General features: G+C 37.2%; 1 protein-coding gene across 41 annotated transcripts in view, besides 1 other annotated feature; it reads right to left on the bottom strand.

Moving 5' to 3' along the window:
• The window catches only part of PPFIA2 (PPFI scaffold protein A2), a 501,376-nt gene extending 485,493 nt beyond the window's left edge, over positions 1-15,883 (bottom strand). For 28 of the 41 annotated variants that reach the window (XM_024449242.2, XM_017020107.3, XM_024449240.2 and 25 more), the window contains exons 1-3: positions 15,813-15,883; positions 14,933-15,040; positions 10,506-10,756 (exon numbers count right to left, since the gene is read on the bottom strand). In XM_024449242.2, the coding sequence (XP_024305010.1) occupies positions 10,506-10,754 (249 nt within the window). In that variant the 5' untranslated portion in view covers positions 10,755-10,756; positions 14,933-15,040; positions 15,813-15,883. Of the gene's footprint in view, positions 1-10,505; positions 10,757-14,932; positions 15,189-15,812 lie in introns of those variants that run through there. The other 13 variants (XM_017020099.2, NM_001220474.3, XM_017020105.2 and 10 more) reach the window with 2 other exon arrangements.
• Positions 14,743-15,681: an enhancer, noted in NCBI's record as "H3K4me1 hESC enhancer chr12:82151989-82152927 (GRCh37/hg19 assembly coordinates)". NCBI's record gives its function as "activates a minimal SCP1, AML or CMV promoter by ChIP-STARR-seq in naive H9 embryonic stem cells {active_cell/tissue: H9 hESC(naive)}" and the evidence as "EXISTENCE:reporter gene assay evidence [ECO:0000049][PMID:30033119]".
• Positions 15,884-16,664: the final 781 nt, after the last annotated feature.

Consider the following 16,664-nt stretch of genomic DNA (forward strand, 5'->3'; position numbering starts at 1 on the left):
AAATGGTGGGGTGGCATCTTGGTAGAGTGGTGGGGGGGTGTTAATAGCTTTTTTTAAAAAAAAAAGAGAAATGTAGGTACATATTTTAATGCTTTCAGTTATAATTTATTAGAGATGGACCAATTCATAATGTAGGAAAAATAATGCAAACGTTTTGTCCAGGAATAGCAAGGAGGGATGAGATCTAGAACAAAAGGGAAAAAGTTGACCTTTTCTAGGAACATGTACAGTTCATCACAGTAGAGGATAAAAGGCAATAAGATCACTAAAAATAACAGCCAGTTTCACTGAATTTACAAATACATGTGACAGCCAGCAGAATTTAGGCAGTGCCTTCTTATTTGCCATTATATATTCCTAGAAACCATAATTGACAAGATAAAATAAAATATAGATAGCAACTCTATGCCATAAGCATAGAACCTGACACAGAATAGGCCCTAAAGTATTTGTTGAATAAATAGTAATTATTTATGAAATGGTTATGATAAAATTAATACATCTAAAATGTTTGCCCTTCATAATCATTTAAAATTAGCAAAATAATACAACAGATTAGAGAGACTATAATTCTTTTGTATGTAAGACAATAGAAAATAGTAAATTCTTTTGTATGTATGTAAATAGAAACCTCAGAAGTTCAGTGGTTTTCCAATGTCACAGGTTTTAGCAAAAGTTGAAGCTGAAATCCAAGTGTTCTACTTTCTAGTTAAATACCCTTTCATGTAACCTACAGTTTCTGGCTGATAAAATGGATCTTATAGTCTATAAAATATGCTCAGTGCATAAAAAGGTAAATTTATAGTATCATAAATATTAGACTGGGGATCCTTAAGTAATTAAATTCAGTATAATTATATGAATTCTAACAATCATTTCAAATTTCATTAATAATAATTTGTTTGCCTTACTAAAACTTAGAGGTAGTCATGAGAAATATGAGAAATGCTTTCTTTTTTTTTTTTTTTTTTTTGAGACAGAGTTTCACTATTGTTGCCCAGGCTAAGTGCAATGGCACGATCTCAGCTCACTGCAACCTCTGACTCCCGGGTTCAAGCGATTCTCCTGCTTCAGTCTCTCAAGTAGCTGTGATTACAGGTGCCTGCTACTATGCCCCGCTAATTTTTTTTGTATTTTCAGTAGAGACGTGGTTTCACCATGTTGGCCAGGCTGGTCTCAAACTCCTGACCTCAGGTGATCTACCCACCTTGGCCTCCCAAAGTGCTGGGATTACAGGCATGGGCCACTGCGCCCAGCCACAAGAAATGCTTTCTATTGTCCATGTCTTTTAAACAGGGTTTCCAGAGGACTTTAATACTTCTTTTAATCTAGATGAACATAACAAGATGAAGAAGAGGGCTCAGGGTAAAAACAAAAGTATGTCATTAATGGGATCCTGGTGAATACCACTTACAAATTGTGTGGTGCTGAAGAAGTTACCTAACCTCTCTGTTCCTTAGTTTTATTATCTGCAAAATGGGAATAGTAATAACAACAGCCTCATTGGAATGTTCGGAATATTAATTGAGATGATACCTCTACCCAGTTTAATGAATAAGCTGAATTTAGTAACCATTTTATCTCCTCTGATTCCCTCAGGTTAAGAAATTAATATGAAACAAAATTTCAGACAGCCGTCCTAGCTTCTCTAGCATGATTAGACAATAAATTAATTATCTTTTGTTTTATAATGAAAAAGTCTAGTCTAGACTAATGATTTTATAGTTTTGGTTTGAAATAGGATTATAAAAGAGACACAGCCCTAAGGTCCCATCTAACCTAAAGTTTCTCCCCTTACACTTGGTTCAGGCTTACTTCAAGCCCTGAAGTCTGCACTGGAGGGTAGGAGTCTGGTGGTCTCTCTTTATTCTCACTTCACCCACTCACAGCAACTGTTTCTGACCACTTCAGACTCAGGGCCTGTGAAAAGAAACTTGGAGGGGAAAGACCACAGTGGCATGTGGCTGACCCTTGTGTCACCACTGTCTGGGACTTCTGGAATGGCAAATGTGGAAGCAATGACCTTTTTTTTCTTCTTCTTCTGGAGTGCATCTGTGGCATTCTCAAAGAACCCCTCTGTCTGTTCTCTTCTCTGGAATCAATCCTCCAAATTTGTTGCTCATAATTCACCACCTTGGAACCTGGGCTTCTGCGAGTATACTCACCTATGGGCTTAAGATAACCCTAAGCAAGCTCCCCTCATGAGGACCGCAGTTGCTCTTCAAACATTGCCAACCTTTTTCTTGACCTTGGAGAACTATGAGGACTTGCCTGCCTTGAAACTCCTTCATCTGCTATATGGGCATCCACAGCCACTGTGGCTGCTTTTAGATTTTAGACTCTATATCCTTTACTCTCTAAAGGAAACCTGTTAAGCTCTCTGAATGTTTTTCCCGAAGCTCTTCTCACTTGGCTAAGGTGAGCAGGAACTGCTCTCATTTCTCATACATGGAGTGGTAGACTATGTACAACAAACAAACAGCTTTCCAAAACAAAAGTATTTCTCTTTTAGCTTTTCCAACTCAATCTTTGTAGAGTCCAAATATGGAGTTTGAGTTAAGACAAAACTTACTGGTTGGACTATATCTTAGCATCTCCTGCAAATAAAGTCTTGTGCCTCACTTAATTAGCTTCATCTCCAACAGAGAGAGAGGGAAACACTCCCACTTTAATATCTGGGTGCTTAAATAAAATACTGAATGGCATAGCGGGAGTGTTCAGAAATGTTAGCTATTACAATTAATCTTATCTTTGTTATTGAACACTTAAGAAGTAACTACATAAGGAATTGGCCACAAGAAAAAAATTGAGAGGAATAAAACAAAATATTTAAGAACTAAAAGAGTATGGTATCATGAAAGTTAAGGGGATAAGATTCATTTATCCATTTTTTTTGGAGAAGCGCAGTGTCAAATAAAACAAACCTACTACAATTATTAATTGGTTATTGGTGATAGCGAACATTCTGAACAGGGAGTTAGAGGAAAAATCAGACTGCAGTATAGAAGTCGAAAAAATTGAGACAGTGAGAGCAAGTCTGGAGAATAAACTTGGAGAATAAGTTTATAGAAAAAGAAAAAATAAGTTGAAAACTAAAGGGAAACACAGAGTCAAGGGACTTTTTTGTTGTTAATTGTACTTGTCATCATTTTAATTTTAAGAAATATATTTGAACATCTTGCAAAATAGCCAGCTTAGAGGAAAAGTAATTGAAGACACTAGAGACAGAGGGAAACAATAATCAAAAGAGGAGGTAAAAGGGAGGGTTCAGGGATTTAGAGATAAATATTCATATACCAGAAGGGCAATGCTTAAGACTGGAGAATGTAAGTAAATGAAGACAAGTATGGGTATGGGTAAGTGTGTGGGAGGAAAATAATGAGCATTGAAGGACAACATACCTACTAGCCTAGAAAGGGAATGTTTATGGAGAATTAAGAGCATGGGAATTTCAACATGAAATAATTAATAGCATTGCTTAACACAAAGAATTCAAGGGACATGGAGAATATGAAAGCATCACTAGATTTGCAAAATATTGGTGACATATATGAGTGTACTTTATTTTAGGAAAACAATGATGATAGAAGCCTGATTGCAAGGGTTAAAAAAAGAAAAAGAAGCAATGAGCAATACAGAAAGCAAGCAGATATTTTATTTGGCCAAAAGAAAAAATAACTAGAAGAGAGAAATACACATTAAGAAAATAGGATGGCTATAACAGGAGGTAAAAGATGGAGCATGCTTCTCTTTTACAGGTAAGGGATAAAACAGTGTGCTGGTATTAGGTTTCACAAAAAACAAAGGAGCTAAATTCAGTTATAATCGCAGCACAATAGGAAGGGATGTTGTTTGATGTAATCAAGGGACATGTGTGACTGGCCATGGTGGAAGTGGAAAATTTAGGAAAATTTAGTTAAGAACTTTTTAAAAAGATAAATCAAAATACCTTTAAAATTTGATAAAGATTGAAGAGAGTAAGGATTTTTAATGCTCTCAATTTGTGCTAGTGTTCATTATTACCCAGTAAAATTGTGCAGTTAAGGTTGGCTAAAGATAATGATGACAATATCTACAATGATAATATCAGCAACAATAGCTACATTTAACATTTATTGAGCATGTACTACCTGTAAGGCATGGAATTATCATTTGACATATTCCAACTCATTTGTTCCTCATAACGATCTTATGAGGCAGTTTCTATTATTATTTGAAGTAAGCACTTTGACCAAGGTTATTGAGCTAGTAAGTAGCAAGTCCAATTATACCTAGGTAGTATGCATTCAGAATAAAAGGGCTGTCAGGGCATAATCTGTTGCTCTCTATAAGATTTACTCAAATAGTTTGAATTTTAGAATGTCAAAAGATATATATGTCCTCCATAAGTAGCCTCTTTTAATTTCTCATCAAGATGTACACCAGCACATCCCAAATTATACATATAAAAACCTGGTATTTTAAAATGCTCAGGGTTTCTGAAACACATTCTCATACCTCCTTTCAATCACTCTTAAGGGTAGATATTATTTACTCTTTTCAATTAAGGAAACAGAGTTTGAGAGAAATCAAGTGACTTTCCAATGGTCCTCCAGTTAACAAAGGAAGGAGCCCCAATTCAAATTCAGATCTTCTGACTCAAGTCCAAAGCCTTGGCCATTCAGGACATTACCCATCCCTGACCATTCTTTCTCTTCAATAGTCTTTATATTTCAATTATCTTTTCTAGTTTTCTGGTCACATTTCTATTTCAAATCTCCATACTTCACCAGAAGGTTATCACAATAAGCTTTCTCTAACATGAAAATGACCAAAATGACTCTTTTAGTAACATTTGTGTAGGTCAGTTGCAGTAATAATCCCAGTGTTTCATTTATCCTGTAGCCATACCCTTTGCCATTTAATTCTGTTCTGCTTTCCACTCTCTCTAGGTTTGGCCAAGGGACATTACCAAAAATGACTTAAGCAGAAGTTTAAGAAGCATCTGCTTATTCCTATTTGGCTCTTACTCCTCTTCCATGATCATGAGAACCTGCCAGGGCTAGCCCATTACAGGATTAGACACATGGCATAGAGGTGAATGGCCCCAGTTGGCTCAGCCAAGGCTGTCCTGGATCAGAATCAGACAACAGCCAATTGACATAAAGCTGACACAGCCAACCTTCAGCTAGCCAGTGACATAAAGTTAGTCCAGCCAAGATCAGCCAATTCAAGATCAGCTGAATCCCACAAACTCATATTTTTGTATGTTATTGAGGTTTTTGTGTTGTTATATAGCATTATTTAAGCAATGGATAACTGATGAATATTATGTAATCCATCCAAAATCAAGATTGTAAAATAATTTTTCTTCATGATCTGGTCATCAGTTCACCCCAAATTCTCCAGATTATACCACATAGAAATTCCTGTCTTTATTTTGCACCACACATAATAACAGCCTACGCTTCACAGCCACTATATAGAACTTCACTTTCATCCTATAACCTTTCATCAAACAAATCTTTTTTTCATTATTGATTGCTATTTAATCTTTTAAAACTAAACAAACAAGATTCCCCAAAGAGTCTTCTTTGTACAAAGTAGGGACCCTAAGCCTAGCCTGGGAAGCACAGCATATGCTGAATTTTGGTTTCCCATATGTCCTTCAGCAAAGTTCTATCTGCACAACTTTCCTGCCCCACATGGAATATCTCAGAATCTTTACCAATCGTTTCTCAAAAATACCTCTTTAATATCACTTTCCACATGAAACTTTTTGTAGTGAATCACATATCAACTTCATAGTTCAAATACTTTCAGTACTTCTATAATCTTCCAGTACTATATTTATTTGGGCCCATTTATGTATTTTTTCCAAGCAACTCTATTCCCTAAACTGTCTGAGAGCCAAACTTTTTTCCCCATCCCCTTTACAAACATATGTAGCTATTTAATAATGCACAGTGGACCCTCAGTGTATGCTAAAAAAGGTGATGAAAACAAATTTTAAACTTCTACATATGACATTTTGCAACAGGAAGCACATTCCCTTTACCTCTTCTCCAAACATTCTTAACAAATATATTAATAACTGACAATTATTCCCCCATTCTCAAAAATGTGTAGGATTATTTTGTCAATATTCCTAGTAAATTACTCTAATTATCCTAATGATTATTCACATATATGTATAGAAATGATCATCTTTTAGCATTCTGGATAAAACAAATGCAAGTAATTCCATATTTAATTTTTTATACATTAATTAGTTTTTATTTGCCTCATATTCTTTAATCATCACAAGTTACCCTATGAGGTGTTAGTATTAAACACTTTTTGTAGCATGGAAATCTGAAGTTCTGACTCAAACTGGTGATGTGTAGTTGGGTCACAGTACAAATCTGATCTTCCTATTTCAAGTTTATTGTTCTTTCTACATCAAAATGCACATATATTTACTTCTCCATTTACTTTAAAAGCCTTTTTTATGGGCCTAGTACTTTGGCAGTTCAGAGGGTTTTGCATTATTGAGATCTGCTCCTTTTCTCAAGGAGCTTATAGATTAGGTTGGGGAACAGGCACATAAACAGACAATTTAATTACAATATGATAAATGATAAGAGTAAGGCACACAGAACAAATGTACTTAGGGTTCAGAAAAGAGTTCCTGAAAGAGATAAACTTTTGGCTGGGATGGGAAATTAACCAGACAAAGACATTGAGGAAAAACATTATAGGTAGAGAGATGAACATTAATGAAGGAAAAAGAATGGAGTTTGCTGGGACACACCAAACAGTGTCGTATTATTCAAGCATATAATGTGACATATTTACAACACCAGAAATGTTAGGAGATGCAGCAAAGAATTTCAGGGTCAGGTGCCAAGAAAAACAGAAGAGTAGAGAGATTTGAGAATTATTTAAGAGGTACAAAAAGTGTGGCCCACTGAGGACTGAATTTAGAGAAGGAAGAAAGCACCAACTATAAGGACCCTTAAGGTGCCTAAGTAAGGAGTTAGAGCACACTTAGGTTGTGAATTGGAGGTAGATGATGACTGGGTTTGGAGCATGTTGAATCTGAGGTTCTGTGGAACATAAAAATGGATCTGTGCATTAATAAGTTAGATAATTGAGGGCATAGCTAAGAAACTTCAGGCCTGGAGGTGTGGAATGATGTGAAATTATCAGCACTTTTTAAACGCAGATATACCCAAAGACATAATGAAAAACTAAACAATACAGCTATAAAATAATTTACATGGTTAAAATTGTTAAAAATTATTGTTGCATACTTTTATAAAGAAATAATAGGAGAGAAAGTGACTAAAGTAAAGCTCCAATCACCAAGACCTAATAGCACTGAATAGGCAATTTAAGACATCTATGTCATAAAGTTTATCTCTGCTTTCAATTCTACCCTGTGTTTGCTGAAATAATTTTCATTTTTCTGTTACCCTAGTGGTTTTCAATTTTACATGCTTTATTTCTGCCCCAAAAGTCACATTTATGGTAGTTATTTTCACCTTCCAGCTAAATGTCAAGTGCAATGCCACCAAACAGTGGCACATTATTTACAAAATATTCATAAAGTTTCAACAATAGCAATTGATGAAGAATATTCCTCTATTACTTATAGAAAACTTATAGCCCTAAAGATACAGAGTAGGTTATTAAACACTTTCTTTAAAAAAAAAAGATGATTATCACTGTCTAAGGACCTGTGGATTTCTAGGGGTACTCAGATATTTATAATAGCAACATACAAATTGATATTGAAAAAGATATCCTCAAAGTATTTTTAATTTAGAATGGAACTATAGCCATCTAAATGTATAGGCTCATAATCCCTAATCTACAATTCCAAAATCCATACACTCTGAAATTGATATTTGATTTGTGAATATGTAATGAATTTGACGGGTGGGAAAATCAGACCTATACTTATCATGAGACTATTTACAGTCTTTTTTTTTTTTTACCATGCAGTAGGAATATTCATAGAATTATCTTCAGAAAAATTTCAGAAATATTCAGAAATATGGGTGCTGCCCATAGTCCTTCAGGAGGATTGTTCTATAATATGCTACACACACACACACACACACACACACACACATATACAGAGAGAGAGAGAGAGACAAGAAACAGAGAGTAAGAGAGAAAGAGAGAGAGAGAGAACCAGAAAACTTCTGAGCTCCAAAACATAACTGGTCCCAAGGGATTTAGATAAAAGGCTGGGCAGTATATTTAAAAATTAAAACTTAACATTTTAAAGGCAATCATAATTTAGATACTCCATACAATTGAATAGCTAGAAATAAAACATTTTCATTCTTGTACCTTTACAAAGAGATTTACCTCCACAATCAGTTACGTATAAAAATATTTTTCAGTTTTCTCCTTTTTTTCCTGAAGTATCTTGTTCTAGTGCTTTATTTTTACAACATTTTTAAGTAAAATAGTCACCTTTTTTTTACAGAAGAGGAAACATTTAAAAATCCAAATTACTTTCAGATGTATTTTGGTAAGATTGGGATTTAAACTGAAAACTTCAAGCTTGAATAAAATCTAGAAAGACAAATGTAAGAGGGATTCATGCAGTCTTACATGTAGGATCAGAATCAACTTCCAAGAAGAGTGGAAGGGAAATGGGAACACACTGCAGCATCTATGCAAGTCAATTAGAAACTTCAGTTGACTGCTGTCCCAGTACACATTGAAGGTATGTTGAACTTGTCTCCAAATATAATAAAATCCTAGTGTAAACTAATGAAACACTGTATCCAGAAGAAGAAATGATTGCCCCATTTTCCACTTGTTACAGTAGATAAGGAAGAGTGTGACTGGTTCTGGGACCACTTTAACAAGAGAATTAACTAACTCAAATAATCCTCCAAGAGAGTAAGCAGGATGGTGATAGTTCTAGAAATCACCTTATGAAGAGCAATTGCAAAGACTAAAATATTTTCCTTAAAAAATATAATATTTGGTGTAGCTATCTAGCTGCCTTTTGAAATGAGTCAAAACATTTTGTGTGATGACACAAACCAGGGTACCAAGAAGTGAGAGTTATTAAAAACATTATTTCATCTCAATACAAGATAAACTGCCTGAAAACGAAAAGGACTAGAATGGCAGTTATTCACACAGGGTTATGGGTTTACCTATCAGGATGTGACAGGGGATTCTTAGTGATCCTTTCCATTTTGAGAGTCATAAATATCTCTATGAGTTAATAGTACAGATAGCTTTAGAATTTTATCAACTTTGAATATATAGTTTTCAATATTTATAAAGATATCTTTGCTACAAGCCATAACTTTGTGGAGAGAATTCAACTCTTTAACATTTAGTATACTGTCTTTTAAGGAGCGGGCCAATCAACCTTGTATTTAAAAGAAAGTTTTAGTTTAATGGGGGTGAGTATCAAAAATCCCATTCATTTTTATGTTTCTTCTCATACCTAAAAGAGGCACAATTATGCTTTTCATTTTTTTTTTTTTTGGAGGTGGAGTCTCTTTCTGTCCCAGGCTGGAGTGCAGTGGCGTGATCTTGGCTCACTGTAACCTCTGCCTCCCGGGTTCAAGCAATTCTCCTGTCTCAGCCTCCCCAGTAGCTGGGACTACAGGCGCATGGCACCACACCCAGCTAATTTTTTGTATTTTAGTAGAGATGGGGTTTCACCATGTTGCCCAGGCTGGTCTCGAACTCCTGAGCTCAGGCAATCCACCCACCTCGGCCTCCCAAAGTGCTAGGATTACAGGCCTGAGCCACTGCGGCCAGCCTATGAGTTTCTTAAACAAGTAAATTGACTTTCATCATTAACTTTGTATATAAATAGGCTGGCAGTTCTTAAAATATCTTAGGATTTTTTTTTTCTGTAAAATACAAAGATTGACAGAAATATATTTAAATATAGCTAACAACGTTAAGTTAGTGAGGCTTAACTTTTTCCCTTTCACCAATCTTCAAAATGTTTTAAAAATAAAAAGAAACCAGTTAAAGTGTTTTTTTTTCCCAAGGGAGAGGATAATATATTAGTAATTCCAAGAATTTTAAAGCAGATATTAGGCATTTAAAAAAAAAAAAACAATAGTTGGACACGAGACTTCCAAAGTACGGTCATTTTCAAAGACCACACAACTGAAAATGAAAAATACATATTTCCAAATGTCAATATTGTGTTTAAAAGGTAAGAAAGATAAAACTATCTCCACATTCTGGTCATTAAAAGCTGATCCACAAGTGGTTTTCTACCTCCCTAAAACACATAAATACAATTTTTAACAAAGACTGGATAAGAACTCTTGCTTCTCACACAAACCCCCAACCACCATCAGTAGTCCATGATTTTGTTTGAGGCAAGGTTTCAAGTGAACTAATCATCTATTCCTAAGTTGTTCTCACCAAAACGTGTGTATCACATATGTTAAGTGGAAAAGTAACATTAAGAATGGGAGTAAAGTGAATCTTAACAAATGTTCAATTACAATAGGAGAAACAAAGGCTACCAGGAAGCATACCTGTGGCAGGGCTGAATTGAGCTGTCTCTGGAGTGAGTCTCGGTCATAGATGACATCCTGAAGTCTTTGCTGGGCAAGTGAGAGGCTTTCCTGGGTCTCCCGAAGGGTGTCTAGAAGACGATCCCTTTCATCTAGCATATTCACCATCAGCTGCTCAAAATGGGAGTCTGAGTCCGAGCCACTGCTTTGGGACCCCCTTTGGCTCATTGGGGTGTCCTCATTAATCGTGGGCATCACTTCACACATCATTGCTTAAAGAAAGTAAGTGGGAAGGAGTCTTAGTAAAGAAATGATTTCCAATAATTTCATTTGGAGAGCAATTCACTAAATATTTTTCAGCTTATTAGCCTATTTGTCTCTATTTCCCCTACCTGTTGCCCCAAATCCAGCCAAGCAAAATGTTTTGACCTCAATGAAATATGATCCATTTACTTCCTTCAGCCTAAGTGCTTTCTCTTTCCATGACATCACATTTATCCCACCTCCCATATGCAACTTGGTTTCACCTGTTTCTCAAAATTGTTGTTCATGATTTATCCCACCTAATTCAATTTACATAAACATGTGATTTCTATTATTATTTCATCACCTTTCTTATCTGCAAGTTTACAAATCTCTTACAGCGAATACTTTTATGTTACCCTTATTTGTTATTACTGTATATTATTAATGGCAAGCACAGTGTCTGGCATTTAACGGGTAGGAAGTAAATGACTTGAATGACTTAGGTAATTCAATGATTTAAAGTTTACTCTTTCTTGTAGAAAATATACAAATCATTGAGTATTTATTTTATATAATAATCAGCTTTTACTTTGTTTTTTAGTCAACCGATTTTTTTCAAACTGACTAGTTTTAAGCTTTCTGACATTACATTTTCCATTTTATTACTTTTATATGCTCTCTCCCTGAATTCCTACGTGGTCTACCCAGAGCAGATAAGTGATACTGACTGAATTAGACCAAAACCTTATGAAATAAACTGAGGTATATAAATTTGTTTAGAGCATTATACTCATCATTACACTTAATATTCCCTTTTTCCTGTTAACTGCATGGTCTGGTTTTCATCCAAACAATACAAACTAGCACTCTTTCAAATATTCCGCAAAACAGATGTCATAAATTATATTAGCTAATGTAGTAACTTCACATCTCAACCGCCAATCACAAGTTCTCAGTCATGAAATAAACGAACTGTTTTCAGAATATTTTTAAATTTGATTTAAAATAGACAAAACACACTTAGGTGCATGATTGAACAATTATGTGGCAACTTAAAAATCAGAAATTATCTCATTTTCTCTTTCATCCTCTAGCTAATGTTTCAAAGAAAAGTCAAACTCATCTCAATTTTGGTTGTTGTACTATGGCCAGCAGCTATTAATTAGATGGCTTGGTTTTGCAAAAGGCTGATGTAAAGAAAGGCAGGTTTGGCTGTTGATCCTGAAGCACTGTTTGGTTTTATAATGCAAGGTTAATTAATTTTTCTGCCTATACATTCCTGTCCTTGGGGAAAATATTTCTGGTGATATTTTCAAATAGAATGTCAAGATTTAACAGCTCAATATTTAATTACTTTTTATGTGAGTCTTCATATAAATTGGGTTATTGAGGAGCGAAATTCAATTATCTGTGAATGATCTGGTCAGGGACTCCTGAAAACTAAGAAAAACTTTTAAAAAGTATGTAAGTAAAGTATTTTGTGATTGATAACCTATATTAAAAAATTAAGGGGGTCATTGAACATTAGGAAAGTTTTAAACGCTTTGAAGTTTTGCTCATTGCTCATAACACTGAGCTACCTGAAGGCAGGAATTTAATTTGTTCAATTTTGTATGCACACTAAAATATATAACAGAGAACACACATAAAATGAATATAAGCACATACACCCTGATACCCACACTTGATACTACTGTTACACACTTAATGGATAAAACTGTTTCTTGCATTTATCTCAATTTGATTTTCATTCAAAGACTATCACAAAGATGGAAAATACAGACTCTTTTTAGATGCTTCAAATTTTCTTTATATTAATTGAAAAGGAATTGGAAAACAACAAAAAGTGTTCCAACACATTTGATTATTTAAAACGATTAGTTAGCAGGCCATGCATGAAACCTACACATTGAGCCGCTATGTCATTCTGAGAAATGATTACCAGGAGCCAATATGTTTACTTTTGACATTTAAGGTTAAAACAAAGTACTGGGAGAGCAAATCATAGCATCATGACAATTTGTGCCCAAACACTCACAACGTTAGGGTTACCTATAGATTTAAATTCTTAAATCTATATTTTAAATTACGTCCTTCTTGAATGAAAGTTATTAATCCCTTTCCACCCTGAATCACTCAGAACAACTTTAAATTCCAAGGCAAAGCATAACAGCAGTGAATACCCCAATATAATTTTCACCTGAAAATAATATCCTAACAATCCCTCATTGTTACCATGGGATATAAACATTCACAAACTTTAGGGTCTTAAATCAACATTAAAGGTAGTCTTCGATTTAGTCAAAAGATGCTATGATGAAAAGTGGCTTAGGGACTTAGAAAGTCTATTAAATCTACACTCAAAAGAACTTGATTTGATTCCACTCCTAAGGCAGGTGAACCAGGACAAGTTACTTTACATGTTAAAACTTTAGTTCTCTCTTTCATGAAAGAGGGCCAATAATCTATGCTTAGAGGAAAAAAAAGAAAATATATAATAGGTTACCTGACTGAGAACACACAGCAAAACATATAAAGGGCAATTACAAATGTAAGTATTAATTTCTATTATAAAGTGATCAACATTAATCTTTGTAGAAACAATATTTTACCTTTACGACTCATTCTGCTGCTGTAAAGGTTTAATTCTAGTAGATACTTTTGAACTCTTCAAATCCAATTTATAAAAATCAAATTATGCAAAATTTACTTAGGAAATAAGATGAATATATGCTGCTTATACCTTGCAGTCAACCCAAATGAGTAAATCCAAAGTCTTCTTATCAAAATTAGAAAAAAATAGTCTACAAAAAAATAAGGCCACTTTCATGAACTAGCTTAGTTTCTTTCATTAGAATTCAGATTCTAACATAAATTACAAAATATTTGATTAATCCTTAAAATGCAGTATAACATTTCTTAAATGCACATTTTGCACATTTTAAGTATTAAAAGCAATTAAAGATATATATTCAATATAAGAGTTAAACACCCTTTTAAAAAATGGATGACATCTGAAGCAGCTTGCACAGTCCGGAAGGCTATGGTCATTCAATGTCTAGTGCGTTTCACCCAGATACATCACTTTTAACTTTTATAATCAGTATCAATACTAAAAACTGCATTCATCACATAATTTCTGAAAAGCCAGAAAGGGCATTTTAACAATTTGCCTTGATATTTGCTTTTTCATCATTCCCCCCTCAAAGTCAATTTGATATATAAATTATGTTATCTTCATCTAGATATTGATGCTTTCCTCATTAAATTACTGAAGGTTTTGAAACCTAGTCAGAGACATTGTTAATTTTGTTGAGAAAGAAAAAAAGTAATAATAAATCTGATTGGCTTAATTATCCCAGTGCTTAAATTTAGCCGGAAGAATTTTATATCAGGAAAATAACTCCTTTATTCTTAGCACATAGCCTTGACTGTCTTTTAAATTTCTCAGATTTCAAAATAAAAGTTTGAATGCCCACTGGAGTCCTCACTCAAGGGCTTTCAAGATCCAATGTGTTCCTTAACAATATATGCCATCCAAGCAGTACCTCTTCAGATATGAGAGTGCTACAAAAAGCTTTTTTTCTTTTTTCTGTCAACAAATGACTTTATTTAATCATATCACTAGGAATTCGGCCCTACTAGAGGTAAGAATGTAATTATTATCCATAGTGAGTTTCTTCTGAAAACATTTAGTCTTAAGAACCATCCCAGCTCCACCTCAGTTAACCTACAAGGAGTAATTCAGTGAGAGAAATCCTAGCCATTGTCTGATTACATTACATGAATATTCTCCCTCCTATTTAACTCTTTGAAAGCCTCTGTCCTCGGGAAATATGATTATCACCTTTAATGGACACATTTTACACTTTCTTTACCCTAGTGCATTTACGGACAGCCAGAGCCAGCTCAACCCACACTACTGGACAGTTATCTCTCAGCCACACCCCCCACCACCTTGAAGAAGTTGACTTCATCATTTCCACACTAAAATTGTTCATCCTGCCCAACAGGACACAGCCAAGTAGGCAGGAGGTAGAGAGATAGGAGATGGAGAGGATGAGGTGAAAGCAAAAGGCACCTAACGGTAATCAACAAGGAGGAATTTGCATCTCATCTTCCCTGGGGGCGGGGTGGGGCCGGGGAGGTGGTCAAAAAATACAGCGAAAGGAGACAGTAAAACTCAAAGACAGCTTCTGTACCTAATGTCTGTGATTTCGGGTCCTTGCTTCTTCAATTGATCAATGACAACCGCAGTCTCCGGCTTGAGGAGAAGGGAGGCTCACACCCAGCACTCCTGGACCATTTCCCTAGCAACGGGAGGAGAAAGGCAGCTCAGACACACGCGTGCCCCGGCGCCCTCCCGGAACGTGCCCCGGCCCGGTGGCGTGGCAGGAGCTCGGCATCTTCCCGTGGCTCCGTCAGCAGCCAAAAGGAGAAGCGTCCATCGGAAAAATGGCATATTACAAATTTTGCTTTGGGAAGCAAAGCTCGGTTCAGACCATTGTCAAAGGAGGAGAGGGGGAGGCGGCTCTTAAAGCAGCCGCGGCCCCTTTGCCAGAACAGCCGCAGCTCCCCGCGTGCAGCTGGAGCCCCGGGGCGGAGACCGGAGACCGGGGACTGGGTTTGACTTTCAGAAACTTAACCACGCGGCGCCGCTCCCCCTCCGCGCCCGGGCCACCCGGGGTGTGTGGGGCGTCCCTCCAAAAGAAAGCTTGGAGAAAAGGCGTGAGAAGTATCTGGGAGAGAAGTTCTCCACCCAGTCTCCCCTCCTGGAGCCCCTCTGGAGTTTAAGGCTAACCCTGGGAGTTAGAAACCTAAAGGAAAACGAGTCCCTAGGGATGCAAAAAGCAGGACAGGTCTCCTCCTGGCCCCCAGCCTGTTTCCGCGCGCTCCCGTGTCTCGTTTCACTTAAAGGAGGCGCTTTTTCTCTGGAAAGGCAAACATCACCCCACGCCGTCCCCCGGCCCCCCTTCCCTCCCCCCCGCCGCCCCCCCGCCGCCACAGCACACACACCCATTTTTCTCCTCCCGGCCTTTCTGCAAGCCTCTTTGCTTGCTTCAATTGGCCGGAAGAACCAACCTGCTGGCAGCCGGTGAGGACGCTACAGCATCTTCTCTCCTCACTTGCCTCGTGCGGTGGCTGCTACTCCTCCTCCTCCGTCTCCTCCCCTCCTCCTCCTTGGCAGCCACCACCTCCTCTTCCTCTGGAACAAGGGCTTCCCCTGGAAGCTGCTGCAGTGGTTTCCACCGGCCCTTAAATAAATTCTGAAGTAATCACGTCTTTGCTCTCCTCCTCACGCACACGCGCCCGCGGATACACTCGTCTCCCCCAGAGCCGCTCCCGGGCTGCCGAGGCTCGCTCTGCTCCCAGTGCCCCCTGCGAAGGCGAGGGCCAGGGATGGGCAAAGTGGGAAGGGGGCACACGCTTCCCCGCCTGGGCTTCTTTCACACAATGGGCTCTACAGCCTTCGCTTGTGTCAGCCTGCGCTGGTGGGGATGGGAACGGACTTGGGCACCTTTTGGCTCCCCGGTCTTCTGTGCTTGTCATTTCTTTAAGCAGCTTTCTTCCCACTGGGCCAGGGCATGGTAGTCATGGTTGTAGGGACCTGAGCCAATCTAGGGTGTGGCGGCATCTGTCATTTCTCATTACCTCTTCAGTTCTTCTTCATTCATATTGTTTTGGTAATGGGAATTGTATGTTAAGTATTCCCTGCCCGAGTAAATTTTAGCTTTGAGCAGAGTCTGGTCTCTCCATCGCGCTCCAGTCCCCCTTATATCTCCACCTCCCTTTACCTACCCTCTTTTCTTTCCGTTGCTGCTGTCCATTCATACAGACTGAGGAAGCAGGAGACAAAATCAGTACCTACTCTGAGCAGAAAGGGAACGTTTCTGTGAGGGAGAGTCACGAATCCTGCTGGGTTTGGTGAAAATG

Source organism: Homo sapiens, chromosome 12 (assembly GCF_000001405.40).
Source record: "Homo sapiens chromosome 12, GRCh38.p14 Primary Assembly".
NCBI classification, from domain to species: Eukaryota; Metazoa; Chordata; class Mammalia; order Primates; family Hominidae; genus Homo; species Homo sapiens.